The sequence below is a fragment of the Homo sapiens genome, chromosome 20 (assembly GCF_000001405.40).
Source record: "Homo sapiens chromosome 20, GRCh38.p14 Primary Assembly".
Lineage (NCBI taxonomy): Eukaryota > Metazoa > Chordata > Mammalia > Primates > Hominidae > Homo > Homo sapiens.
Window position 1 is genome coordinate 3,287,362 of NC_000020.11, and position 13,885 is coordinate 3,301,246.

General features: G+C 46.6%; 1 protein-coding gene and 1 pseudogene across 5 annotated transcripts in view, besides 1 other annotated feature; both read right to left on the reverse strand.

Annotated features, from left to right (window-relative positions):
* DNAAF9 (dynein axonemal assembly factor 9) overlaps positions 1–13,885 on the reverse strand; it is a 158,364-nt gene that overhangs the window by 38,056 nt on the left and 106,423 nt on the right. For 4 of the 5 annotated variants that reach the window (XM_005260684.5, NM_001009984.3, XM_011529208.4 and 1 more), the window contains 6 exons: positions 10,668–10,814; positions 9,500–9,588; positions 7,167–7,268; positions 6,778–6,895; positions 2,768–2,856; positions 271–429 (listed from right to left, as the gene is read on the reverse strand). In XM_005260684.5, the coding sequence (XP_005260741.1) occupies positions 271–429; positions 2,768–2,856; positions 6,778–6,895; positions 7,167–7,268; positions 9,500–9,588; positions 10,668–10,814 (704 nt within the window). Of the gene's footprint in view, positions 1–270; positions 430–2,767; positions 2,857–6,777; positions 6,896–7,166; positions 7,269–9,499; positions 9,589–10,667; positions 10,815–13,885 lie in introns of those variants that run through there. The other variant, XM_047440081.1, reaches the window with a different exon arrangement.
* Positions 8,135–9,012, reverse strand: LOC101618237 (ubiquitin conjugating enzyme E2 F (putative) pseudogene; annotated as a pseudogene).
* Positions 8,424–8,924: an enhancer, noted in NCBI's record as "H3K4me1 hESC enhancer chr20:3276431-3276932 (GRCh37/hg19 assembly coordinates)". NCBI's record gives its function as "activates a minimal SCP1, AML or CMV promoter by ChIP-STARR-seq in naive H9 embryonic stem cells {active_cell/tissue: H9 hESC(naive)}" and the evidence as "EXISTENCE:reporter gene assay evidence [ECO:0000049][PMID:30033119]".

Here is a 13,885-nt window from a genome sequence, read left to right on the forward strand (position 1 = left end):
CCAATGAATCTTGCCAGGTTCCCTAATTCCCCACCTTGTGGGGATATGATGATGTTAAATCCAAACTTAAAACTTGTGTGCAAGCTATACTAGCCTATAGGCCATAGGATGGCAATAGGGTCATTGCTCGCTTAAGGCTTCTCTGTAGCGCAGACACTGCTCATGCATGTAGAGTCTGTTCTGTGCTCCAGGTTTGTTACACATAAAATAAGAGTAATGGCAAGGTCATCACCCTGATTCGACTGTTTCCAGGAGACTTCCAATGCTCACCCTTGTAACACCACCAGCAGTCTGGTCTTCTTGCGGATGTAGGCTGACTGGCGCGCAGAGCGGTTCTGCTGGGCCTCTAGGGCACTGGAAAGGTATCTCTGGAAGTGTGCAGCATGAAAACATTCAGAGCTGTCCATGATTTGGCGATACACCATCCATCTGGAAAGGTAAAAGGTAACCTCTGCATGGGGGCCACCTGATGGCCTAGCTCCATAGGTTCAGCCATGGATTCAAATGTGACCATGAGTCCTAAAGCCATTCTGCCCAGTGAATCCATTCAGGAGAAAGCCATCTTGGCCTCACAGAAAAAAGGCAGAGGGCACTGGATGGGTTGGAAGCCCAGTATCCTGAAACCACTGTCACTGGGGCTTTTGATAGGAAACCCCTTGCCATAGGGAAAATGGTCAGGTAAGCACTTGACCAACAGACATCAGAGGTAAGAAAGACTCCTTCTGACCAGGCAGTCACTTTCTGAAGGACCATGCAAAAGATGGCTTCAGTTAGTCTCTTGCTAAGAATCAGAAATGGGCAGGGTTGGCTGGGCATTGTGGCTCACGCCTGTAATCCCAGCACTTTGGGAGGCCGAGGCGGGCGGATCACCTGAAGTCGGGAGGTTCAAGACCAGCCTGACCAACATAGAGAAATTCCATCTCTACTAAAAATACAAAATCAGTAGGGCTTGGTGGCGCATGCCTGTAATCCCAGCTACTTGGGGGGCTGAGGCAGGAGAATCGCTTGACCCCGGGAGGCAGAGGTTGCAGTGAGCTGAGATCGCACCACTGCACTCCAGCCTGGGCAACAAGAGTGAAACTCCATCTCAAAAATAAAAATAAATGGGCAGGGTGAATAATTCAGAATCTTTATAGAACAAAAACACTAGACACGAGGAACTGGTTAGACATTTAGTACTCAATAAATGAGGTCCTGTATTTCCCAAGCATTGCTCTGTAATTTGCCTCCCCATTCTCCACAATATCCCATCCTAAACTGCCGACTCTCTATGCAATTTCAGGCTTCCAAATTTCTTTACGGCCTCCTGCAGGATGCCTTACCTTGGGGTAGACTGACTGGATATTAAACACCTGGTTCAATCTGCAAGGGTTGTTTGGTAATCTGACAGCCAGGTGGAAGTGAAGGATGAATGATTTTCCTGATTTCACCTGGGCCAACCTGTTCCAGCTGCATCTGAACTCAGGCAGTCTCCTTGTGCTCATGGGAGGATCATGACATCCACCAGGCCTAAGTTTTATAACCATCATGACCCTGAATTTCCCTGCTGACCAGATGCACTCCCAGCCCTCTACATTTGCTTGACCTGCTGCTACAATGCTCTCCCCTAGATAGCTACATGGTTTATTCCTTAAAGTCTCTGCTCAAATATCACCTCCTTAGTCAAGTTTTCCCAGACCATCCAATTTAAAATTGGAATCTAAGCTGGGTGCACAGTAGCGTGTGCCTGTATCTCAGCTACTTTGTAGAATGAGGTGGGAGGATCACTTGAGCTCAGGAGTTTGAGACCAGCCTGGACAACACAGCAAAACCCCACCTCTAAAAGCTTTTTTAAAAATTAGTGCAGCACACCAACATGGCATATGTATACATGTGTAACAAACCTGCACGTTGTGCACATGTATTCTAAAACTTAAAGTATAATTTTAAAAAATTAGTTAGGTGTGATGGTGCACACCTGTAGTCCTGCCTACTTGGGAGGGTCAGGTGGGAGGATAATTTGAACCCAGGAGTTTGAGGTTACAGGTGAACTATGATCGTGCCACTGTACGCGAGTTTGGGTGACAGAGAGAGACCCCATCTCTAAAAACAAAACAGAAAACTGAAACCCCACTCCCAGCCCTGCACTTCCTATAACCTTCCCTGCTTTATTTTCTGTTTTTTTGTTTTGTTTTTTTAATCAGGGTCTCACTCTGTTGCCCAGGCTGGGATGCAGTGGCGCAATCTCAGCTCACCGCAGCCTCGCCCTCCTAGGTTCAAGTGATCCTCCCACCTCAGCCTCCCGAGTAGCTGGGACTATAGGTGCATGCCACCACGTTCGGCTAATTTTTGTATTTTTGTAGGTTTTGCCATGTTGTCAAGGCTGGTCTCAAATTCCTGGTCTCAGGCGATCTACCCACTTTTGCCTCCCAAAGTGCTGGGATTACAGGTGTGAGACACTGCACCTGGCCCCTTCTCTGCTTTATTTTCTCCATAGAACTTTTCACTAGTTAATATACTTTTCCTTATCTGTTTGTCTTACCAAACTAGAATGTAAGCTCCATAAGTGCAGAGATTTTCGTGTCTGTATGTTCATCGATGTATTCTCTCATACTCAGAACAGTGCCTGCCATACAGGAAGTGCTCAGAAGAGCATATTAAATGAATGGCTGACTACCATGCTGATACCAGTCCCACCAAGGCCAGTACATGTCTAAGGTTTTCCAGTGCCTAGGCAGGCCCAAGTTAGAATCCCTTTCCCCAAAGCAAAGGCATCAGCCATACTAACCTGCCACATTCCTTATGCAGAGTGACCAGAAAAGCACAGAGCTCGCTAGCGTGACAGCCTGGGAGGCCGGTTACAATGCTGATAATTACCTACATGAAGAAAAAGTCATGGGTTTGCAATTCAACTGCATTGCATTATGTAAGAAGAGGTTAAGAGAACTGACTTCTGGTGCCAAGCATTGTGGGTGTGAACCTCAGTATGACCTCTCACTAACTCTGTGACCTTAGGCCAATGACAGAACCTATATTGTAAAGTGGGTGTGAGGATTAACTGGGTTAACATAAGCAAAGTGTTTAGAACAGTGCTTGCCATGTAGCAAATACCATATAAAATGTAGTGTTACTAGTTTAATTTTTACTAGAGTAGTAACACTAATTAGAGCATATTGTGAATAGATTAGTTAAAATACAATGCATTAAAGGACCTACCTGCTTGAGACCACAGATCTCTTCTGTAAAGCAGACATTCAGGGATATTATGACTTTTTTTCCCAGTAGTAACTATTTCTTAGGAAAACACTGGGCAGAAAGGAGGTCTGGGACAAAAATGCCCCAGGCTACACTGGTGTAGTAAACTAGGGCAGAAGACAGGAGAGTGGTGCTGGGGATGCTTCTGCCTGGTTGCCTGTGCCCTCCAAGTCACACGGTCAGGGCTAAGTCTTTTTTTTTTTTTTTTTTTGAGATGGAGTCTCACTCTGTCGCCCAGGCTGAAGTGCTGTGGTGTGATCTCAGCTCACTACAACCTCCGCCTCCTGGGTTCAAGAGATTCTCCTGCCTCAGCCTCCCAAGTAGCTGGGATTACAGGCACATGCCACCATACCCAGCTAATTTTTTCATTTTTAGTAGACACGGGGTTTCACCATGTTGGCCAGGCTGGTCTCGAACTCCTGACCTTGGGTGATCCACCCGCCTTGGCCTCCCAAAGTGCTGGAATTACAGGCGTGAGCCACCGCACCTGGCCGACCAGGGCTAAGTCTTACTCACTGTGCGTGTGAAGCACTTGTGATTCTGGAAGAGAAGAGGGGCCAGGCTGAACTGTCCTAACCTTATTATACACCCACAGGAAAATAGGTCCCCTTTCAGGTAGATATTCCAAAGCAACTTAATAAATTCACTGAAAAAGGAGGCATCAGGCAGGTGAGGACAGGAACCCTGCAATCACCGAGGGAGGTCTATGTAAATGACTTGGCATGGCAAGTGCCTCTGTAAGTTTTTTTGTTTTTTTTTTTTTTTTTGAGACGGAGTCTCGCTCCGTCGCCAGGCTGGAGTGCAGTGGTGCAATCTCGGCTCACTGCAACCTCCACCTCCCAGGTTCAAGTGATTCTCCTGCCTCAGCCTCCCGAGTAGCTGGGACTACAGGTGCCCACCACCATGCCTGGCTAATTTTTTGTATTTTTAGTAGAGACGGGGCTTCACCATGTTGGCCAGGATGGTCTCAATCTCTTGACCTCGTGATCCACCTGCCTCAGCTTCCCAAAGTGCTGGGATTACAGGCGTGAGCCACCAGCCCAGCCTGTTAAGTTTTATTTCACAATACACAAGACTCACTGGGACAGGCCCAGTCACAAATAACTTATGCTAAAGCTAAGCCTGGAAGCACTCATCACTTGAGCTGCCCACATCAGCACAGAGAAGACGGCCGTAAATCCCTCTTCTTTTGTAGGACCCAGAAGCTGTCTCTTGTTCCCTCTGACCAGGGCCTCTACACCGTACCCCTTTCTACCCCTCAGGCAGTACTCCATGTTTATCCTCCTCCTATCCAGCCTTCCCTGTCTTCGTTCCTATTTCTCAGTGCCCAGGTCTCAGCCCCTCAAATCGCAGCACATGTACATACAGCCAGACATGTTTTTACTTTAAGGCCAATCCAAGAGCACCTTTTTTTTTTTTTTGAGATGGAGTCTCGCTCCATTGCCCAGGCTGGAGTACAGTGGTGCGATCTTGGCTTACTACAACCTCCGCCTCCCGGGTTCACGCAATTCTCCTGTCTCAGCCTCCCGAGTAGCTGGGACTACAGGCACCTGCCACCAATGCCTGGCTAATTTTTGTATTTTTAGTAGAGGCGCGGTTTCACCTTGTTGGTCAGGCTGGTCTCGAACTCCTGACCTCAGGTGATCCACCTACCTCGACCTCCCAAAGTGCTGGGATTACAGGCATGAGCCATGCCGCCTGGGCGAGCACCTTTTAATAAAATACAACAAGTAGGTATGCTTTACAAACAGATGCTTTACACTCTTGCCTAAGGGAAAAAATGACGTTTCTCATTGCTTAGTGCTTTTATTTCCTTTTGCAGCTGAGTATCTTCTAGACTTGCATGGAAATAAATATCCTCTTTGAGCCTATTAAGACTTATGGTTCTGGGCTGGGCGCGGTGGCTCATGTCTGTAAACCCAGCACTTTGGGAGGCCGAGGCGGGAGGATCACTCGAAGTCAGGAGATCAAGACCAGCCTGGCAACATGGTGAAACTCTGCCTTTACTAAAAATACAAAAATTAGCTGGGCTTGGTGGCACATGCCTGTAATCCCAGCTACTCAGGAGGCTGAGGCTGGAGAATCACTTGAACCTGGGAGGCAGAGGTTGCAGTGAGCCGAGATCGGGCCCCTGCACCCTAGCCTGGGCAACAGAGCGAGACTCCATTTCAAAAAAGAAAAAAAAAAAAAGCCAGGTATGGTGGCTCACGCCTGTAATCCCAGCACTTTGGGAGGCTGAGGCAGGTGGATAACCTGAGGTCAGGAGTGTGAACCAGGTCAGGAGCTTGAGACCATCCTGGCCAACATGGTGAAACCACATCTCTATTAAAAATACAAAAAATTAACAGGGCGTGGTGGCAGGTACCTGAAATTCCAGCTACTTGAGAAGCTGATGCAGGAGAATTGCTTAAATCCAGGAGGCGGAGGTTGCAGTGAGCCAAGATTGTGCCATTGCACTTCAGCCTAGGCGACAGAGCAAGACTCAAAAAAAAAAAAGACCATCCTGGCTAACACGGTGAAACCCCGTCTCTACTAAAAATACAAAAAATTAGCCGGGCGTGGGGGCGCATGCCTGTAATCCCAGCTACTCGGGATGCTGAGGCAGGAGAATCCCTTGAACCTGGGAGGTGGATGTTGCAGTGAGCCAAGATCACACCACTGCACTCTAGCCTGGGCAACAGAGGGAGACTCCGTCTCAAAAAAAAAAAAAAAAAAAAAAAAAAAGAGACTTATGGTTCTGAAGGAATGGTGGGAGGGGGTCAAGAAGACGAAGTGTGAGGCAAGAGCAGATTAAAATCCACTCTGGGGGCCGGGCACAGTGGCTCACACCTGTAATCCCAGCACTTTGGGAGGCCGGGGTGGGCGGATCACCTGAGGTCAAGAGTTCGAGACCAGCCTAGTCAACATGGTGAAACCCTGTCTCTACTAAAAATACAAAAATTAGCCAGGCGTGGTGGTGCATGCCTGTAATCCCAGCTACTCAGGAGGCTGAGGCGGGACAATCACTTGAGCCCAGGGGGCGGAGGTTGCAGTGAGCCGAGATCACGCCAGTGCACTCCAGCCTGGGTGACAAAAAAAAAAAAAAAAAAAAAAAATCCACTCTGGGGAAGATAGTGTTTATAAAGTATCACTTTACCCTGCTGATTCCGGCAAGGCCTGAATAACATGGGTGCCCTTCCCTGTATTAAGTGCAATGTGTCAACCACTGCCAGGTAAGTTCCTGTCACAATCAGGAAGAGCTGATGGCATGAAAGCACTGAGTAGGAGTTTAAATGTTCTTGAGAGGCCAGGGAAGGGCACGGCAAGATGCTAGGGTTTTGTCACTGTCATGAGGCTTGGCTGGGGTTAATGTAGACACCTGACACAGTCATTGTATACAGCAGGTTACATGTTATCATTACATTTCAGGATCCAAGGAAGTGGAGAGTCCTGTAACAGGGACTCCATCTAAGTTCTTTTTGTTAACTGACACAAAAGATTCAGGGGCAGGCTCTCAAGATCATCTTCCTGTGAATTCCCAGCATATCTGGTGAGCTCCTCTACCTTGTCACTTTCTATTCTGTGAGTAGTGTTGATTTCAGCTTGCTGCAGCAGCACAGGAAGATGGGTCCGCATCACAGGCTCCTGGCTAATGCTGCTGATGGCGAAATGCTGGAGAAACCTAAAAACACAAAGACAATGCTATTATGTTACCATCCTAGCCTGTCCTGAAGGTGCCTACTCACATGAAAAAGTTTTTACTTAATTGCTGAAAAATAAACCTTGGAGAGATTCTCTCTAGAGAATAAAATTGTGTACAGTGTGTTACTGCGACATTTTACAGTGATCTCTAAGAAACTACAAGAAAAAGGAGCTTAAAAGGACCAACACTGAGGTTTCCGACATTTCAAAAGCCAGAATATTAAACATCTATAAACAGAACCAGAGCTTACCAGTCCAGCTCTGGGAGTTTGGCTGAGAGTAACTTTAGGGAACTCCGTTTCTCCCCAGCAGGCTGGCTCAGGGCACTGAAGAGCTTCTGTGCACTGGAGTGCCTGGAATAACAAAAGCTCACAGATTAGAAGTCCATCTTCCTTCAGCATATACACTTTACACAACTGGGCCTGATGCTTTCAAGCCAGAGTCCAATGACAGAGTCAACTCTTCCAAAACACACATCTCAGACTTAAACAAAATGAGGTGTTAGTGCATGATGATGGGTAAGTCCACATAGAAAGGTTGGCCTGAAATCCCTTGATAATACCATGAGTTTCTGATTCTCGGTGATTTCACCTCTCCTTTTTTTTTTGAGATGGAGTCTTGCTCTGTTGCCCAGGCTGGAGTGCAGTGGTGCGATCTCGGCTCACTGCAAGCTCCGCCTCCCGGGTTCACGCCATTCTCCTGCCTCAGCCTCCCAAGTAGCTGGGACTACAGGTGCCTGCCACCACGCCCAACTAATTTTGTGTTTGTATTTTTAGTAGAGACGGGGTTTCACTGTGTTAGCCAGGATGGTCCCGATCTCCTGACCTCATGATCCGCCCACCTCGGCCTCCCAAAGTGCTGGGATTACAGGCATGAGCCACCGCACCCAGCTCCCACTTTTTTTTTCTTTTTTTGAGACAGAGTCTGGCTCTGTCACCCAGGCTGGAATGCAGTGGCACGATCTCGGCTCATTGCAACCTCTGCCTCCCAGGTTCCAGAGATTCTCCAGCCTCAGCCTCCAGCCTCCCCAGTAGCTGGGATTACAGGCGCATATCACCATGCCCGGATAGTTTTTGTATTTTTAGAAGAGATGAGGTTTCACCTTGTTGGCCAGGCTGGTCTTGAACTCCTGACCTCAGGTGATCCACCACCTCGGCCTCCCAAAGTGCTGGGATTACAGGCGTGAACCACTGCGCCTGACCTTTTTTTTTTTTTTTAAAGAAGCCCAAACACATTTTCTTGCTGTATTTATGTTGAATTCCCCATCTACAATGAGCAGTCACGAAGATGGTCTTCTTCAGGGCAACATGGTCACAGGACTGGGGCAATCCAGGGGACTGAGAGGGAGCGTGAGGATGGGAGGTGGGGCTACCTCCTGCTGTTTCACATTAGAGACAAACTGTAACACAGTCCATGGGCCTGCAACCGTCCCCTTTTATTATCTGGCATAACGCGTGATGTAGTTGTCCACTTTATTCTGGAAGTCCTCCTTGTCCTGCAAATGATGTTCTGCAGCTTCAATATTCAGTGGATCATCAAAATTCAAAAATCAGTAAACAAAGAGTTTAATCCCCAAACGACATCCTTTAATGTTCTCATGGGAGCCCAGCCAGTGCCGTCAATTGAATGTTCTCTCAGTAAACTCAGACATATTTCCCCTGTCTCTGTGATGTTGGGGTGCCAGATCTTGGTCAGGCATTTCACTTTGGGAGGCACCATGTTGTACACATCGGGAACTTCGGTTTCAAGCTGAAATTTTCCACCCTGGTAGTAACCCTCATCTGGAGTTACTGTTAGCTGAGAACAGTGAAGCTTGTTTGGATCAGGAAAATGCACTTTACATGTACAAGGTAAATTAGCTTCAAGTTCTGCAACCTCTGTAGTCCCACCTGCTAAGCGGGAGGATAACCTGAGCCTAGGAGGTCAAGGCTGCAGTGAGCCAGGACCGCACCACTGCACTCTACCCGGGGTGACAGAGTAAGACACTGGGCGCCCCCCAAGACAGGTGAGACGGGCCCGGCGCCCAACACCATGCTTGGCCCGGGTCAGGGCTGTGAGACGTGGCCCCTCACAGCCACACTGGCTCCTGGCAGTGGGGACATTTTTCGTTTTTTTTTTTGAGAAAGGGTCTTGTTTCATCACTCAGGCTGAAGTGCAATGGCATGGTCACGGCTCACTGCAACCTTGAATTCCTGGGCTCAAGTAACCCTTCCACCCCGGCCTCCTGACTAGCTGAGACTACAGGCATGTGCCACCATACCCAGCTAATTTTTTATTTTTTGTAGGGACGGGGTCTCACTATGTTGCCCAGGCAGGCTAGTCTCTAATTCTTGTGCTCAATTCATCCTCCTGCCTCAGCCTCCCAAAGTGTTGGGATTACAAGTGTGAGGCACTGCACATGGCCCTCTCTTGCCTTCTATTCCCCCAAGGGCACCGGCTACCTGCAAGTTGGCAGCATTGAAATGTCTGTGTTGACCCTTTCAGAAGCCAAGACCCCTGTGTTACATAATGCGAGGCATCCTGCAGAGAGAGCACACCCACAAAGCCTAGGGAAGCAAGCACAAATACTGAAGCAGCCACTTACAATCTCTTTTGTTCCACAGATAATCCATCTTCCTGGATCACTTTTAAAGAGATCCCTGAGTTATCCTGCTGTTTCCAGAGGGAGAAGACCTAAACAAAACAGAATTTGAGCAAAGAACACTTTAAACCCAACAACAGGATATGGAAGCCACATGGGGATTTGATGGTTGTTGAAAATCTAGACTGTCACTGCAGAGAAAATGACTATAACAAACAAGTTTGCTTCAAAAATAGAGGCCTGAAGCAATTTTGTTCTGTATTTTTAAAAACCAGAATGTCTTTCTGGGTTACTCCCCCAGGGATTCTGCTCCTTGAGAGGTCAGGAAGTAAGGAGAAAGGGGTCGGGTAACACTGTCCTAGCAGCAGACGCATGTTCTCCTCTAGGGAGACAGAAAGGAGTGGTTCAAGCAACTCCTGCCAAGAAGCAGAGGGATGGCTGAAGAGAACCTAAAGAGCCGTCTTTATTTTCCCAGATTGAAAGGACAAGCACAAGGAGGTAAAAAGGTCCAGCAAAGGTGGAAGACACAGACTGGGCTGAGAAGCTATACTATAGCCAAGGTCAACTCTTGCATCCTCTATGGTCTGCGAATCTGACCTGAGGGAGGAACACTGTCCCCTCACAAGCTGCTGTAATCACACCTTTCCAAGAATTCCCACTAGTCATGAGGCTGGCCATCAGTTTGGCTTTGGCTATTGCTTGGTCTCTAAGTGGGTCGTTTCATTCTCGTAAACTCCCTCATCTATGCCATCTGTGCTGAGTATCTATAAAGTGCAGCCTGCCAGGTGGTACCATTCGCAAGGGCAGGGACTGGCCCATGGGGAAGGAGACTATAGGGTGGCAAAGAGAACACTAATTCAGTAGGTAGGGCCCAACAATTCAATAAAGTAGCTAAATAAGAGATAACTCTAATTAGGATTTAAAGGACAAAGCAGATTTTTCTTAAAGGCTAAAAACCCTCTTGTTCAGTTTCTTCCAGCTCTCACCTCTCATTGCCAACAGCACCACTCCAGAACTTGAAGGGATTAGAAGCAGTCACCCCACACCATCCAGCCCTCCTAACTCTCCCTCTCATCACTTCACTGTTAGCCCCAAAATGATGCCTTACCATTTAAATTGCTAGGGGGAAAAAAAAGTAGTAGTAGTTTTGCTGAATAATGACTGATATTACCTCTGAGTAAAATGCTTGGTATATCTTCGATTTGGGGAAAAGGGCAATCATCAGAAAATTGCTTGATCCATGGAAATGAACTGGGAGGTGAGGAAGCAATGAGCTTTTGAAGTCTATGAGAAGAGCAGCAACAGTACTGGTGGAATCCTAAAGCGAAAAGGAGGGAGCATCAGCAAGAAGAGCATCTGCACAATTACAGCACTCACAACTACTGCCAGAACACACAGGATCAATTTCAGTACAATTATTGTCACATTACGTAGTTCACTGTGGTTCAGTATAGATGTGCTTTACTTATAGGAGATATAGGAAATAAAAGGATTTTTTTTTTGAGACAGGGTCTTGCTCTGTCACCCAGGCTAGAGTGTGATGGCTCACTGCAGCCATCAAGTGATCCTTCTACCTCAGCCCTTCAAGTAGCTGAGACTACAGACACATGCCACTATGCCTGGCTAATTTTTTTAAACTTTCTGTAGAGACAGGGGCTCTCTCTGTTGCCCAGGCTGGTCTCAAACTCCTGGTCTCAAGTGATCCTCCCACCTTGGCCTCCCCAAGTGTTGGGATTACAGGGGTGAGCCACCACCCCTAATCTGGATTTTTTTCCCCTATACTGAAAATGTCATCTCAAAATTCACTCTAGGATATTAATTCCTTATCAGATATATGATTTGTGAATATTCCATTCTGAGGACTGTCTTTTCACTCTCTGGATAATGTCCTTTAACACACAGAAGTTTTAAATGTTGATGGAGTCCAATTTACATATTTTTTCATTTGCTGTCCGTGCTTTTGGTATCACATTCAAGAAATCATTGCCAAATCCAGTATCATAAAGATTTTCTCCTGTATTTTCTTCAAAGAGTTTTATTGTTTTAGCTCTTTTTTTTTTTTTTTTTTTGAGATGGAGTCTCACTCTGTCGTCCAGGCTGGAGTGCAAAAGCATGATCTCCGCTCGCTGCAACCCCCGCCTCCTGGGTTCAAGCGATTCTCCTGCTTCAGCCTCCCGAGTAGCTGGGACTACAGGTCCGTGCCACCATGCCCGGCTAATGCTTATATTTTCAGTAGAGACGGGGTTTCACTATGTTGGCCAGGCTGGTCTCGAACTCCCGACCTCATAATCCGCCCGCCTTGGCCTCCCAAAGTGCTGGGATTGCATATTGTTTTAGCTCTTAATGTTTATGTTTTTGATCCACTTTCAGTTAATTTATTGTACAGGGTATAAAGTAAGGGTCAAACTTCATTCTTTTGCACACGGATATCTAGTTTTCCCAGCACCTTTTTTGTTTGTTGTTTTTGAGACAGGGTCCCACTCAGGGGACCTGTGCCCAGGATGGAGTGCAGTGGTGCCATCTTGGCTGACTGGCCTCCGCCTCCTGGGTTCAAGCAATTCTCATGCTTCAGCCTCCCGACTAGCTGGGATTACAGGCATCCACCCACCACACCCAGCTAATTTTTGTATTTTTAGTAGAGATGGGGTTTTGCCATGTTGGCCAGGCTGGTCTCGAACTGCCAGCCTCAAGTGATCTGCCCTCCTTGGCCTCCCAAAGTGCTGCGATTACAGGCGTGAGCCACCGCACCCGGCCTCTCAGCACCATTAGTTAAAAAGACTGTCCTTTTGACATTGAATGGTTCTGGCATCCTTGTCAAAAATGATTTGATACAAAAGTTTATTTCTGGGCTCTCCATGGGTCTAGTCCACTGGTCCATATGCCTGACCTTTTGCCAGCAGCAAACTGTTAGGTCACTGTAGCTTCATAGTGAGTTTTGAAATAAGAAAATGCATGTGTTACAACTTTATTTTCTTTTGCAAGATTGTTTTAAACAATAAGGGTCCCTTGAGAGTCTATAAATTCTACATGAACTTTAGGATGGGTTTTCCTATTTCTTTTTTGAGACACAGTTTTCACTCTCTCACCCAGGCTGGAATGCAGTAGCACAATCTCGGCTCACTGCAACCTCTGCCTCCCAGGTTAAAGTGATTCTTGTGCCTCAGCCTTCCGAGTAGCTGGGATTATAGATACATGCCACCACACTTGCCTAATTTTTGTATTATTAGTAGAAACAGGGTTTCACCATGCTGGCCAGGTTGGTCTCAAACTCCTGACCTCAAGTGATCTGCCCGCTTCAGCCTCTCAAAGTGCTGGAATTGTTAAGTGTGAGCCACTGCGCCCGGCAGCGTTTTCCTATCTGCAAAAAATGCCATTGGGATTTTGATACGGACTGCACTGAACCTACAGATCATGTTGGGCAGTATTGTCTTAATAGTAAGTCTTCTGAGTCACGAACATGGATGTTTTTCCTTCATTTAGGTTGTCTTTAATTTTTCTGCAATATTTTTCAGTTTTCAGTGTACAAGTCTCTCACTTTCTTGGTTAAATTTATTCCCTAGTACTTTACTCTTTTTGATGCTAATGTAAATTGAATTGTTTTATTTTTCTGAGACAGGGTCTCACTCTGTTGCTCAGGCTAGAGCACAGTGTGGCATGATCACAGCTCACTGCAACCTCTGTCTCCTGGGCTCAGGAGATCCTCCCACTTCACCTCTCAAGTAGCTTGGGACTATAGGCACCTGCCACCATGCCTCACTAATTTAAAAAATTTTTGAGGCTGGGTGCACTCCAGCCTGGGTGACAGAGCGAGACTCCATCTAAATAATAATAATAATAATAATAATAATAATAATAATAATAATAATAATAATTTTTTGTAGAGACGGAGTTTCACCATGTTATCTCAAAGTCCTGGACTCAAGTGATCCACCTGCCTTGGCCTCCCAAAGTGCTGGCATTCCAGGCTTGAGCCACTGCATCCAGCCCTGGAATTGTTTTCTTAATATCTTTATCAGATTGTTCATTGGTAGGGCATAGAAATGCAACTCATTTTGAAAAAAAATTATAAAAATACAACAGAGAAGAAAGTTTTAAAAAAATTAATAGAAAGTCCCATCACCTAAACCCAACTACAGCTAACATTTAGTACTTTTGTTTTCCTTTTTTTTTTTTCAGAGACAGGGTCTTGCTCTGTCTCCCAGGCTGGAGTGCAGTGGTACAATCACAGCTCATTGCAACCTTGAACTTCTGGGCTCAAGTGATCCTCCCACCTAAGCCTCCCAAATAGTTGCGACTTCAGGTATACACCATCATGCTTGGCTTTTTTTTTTTTTTTTTTCTTTTTTTGAGATGGAGTTTCACCCTTGGTACCTAGGCTGGAGTGCAATG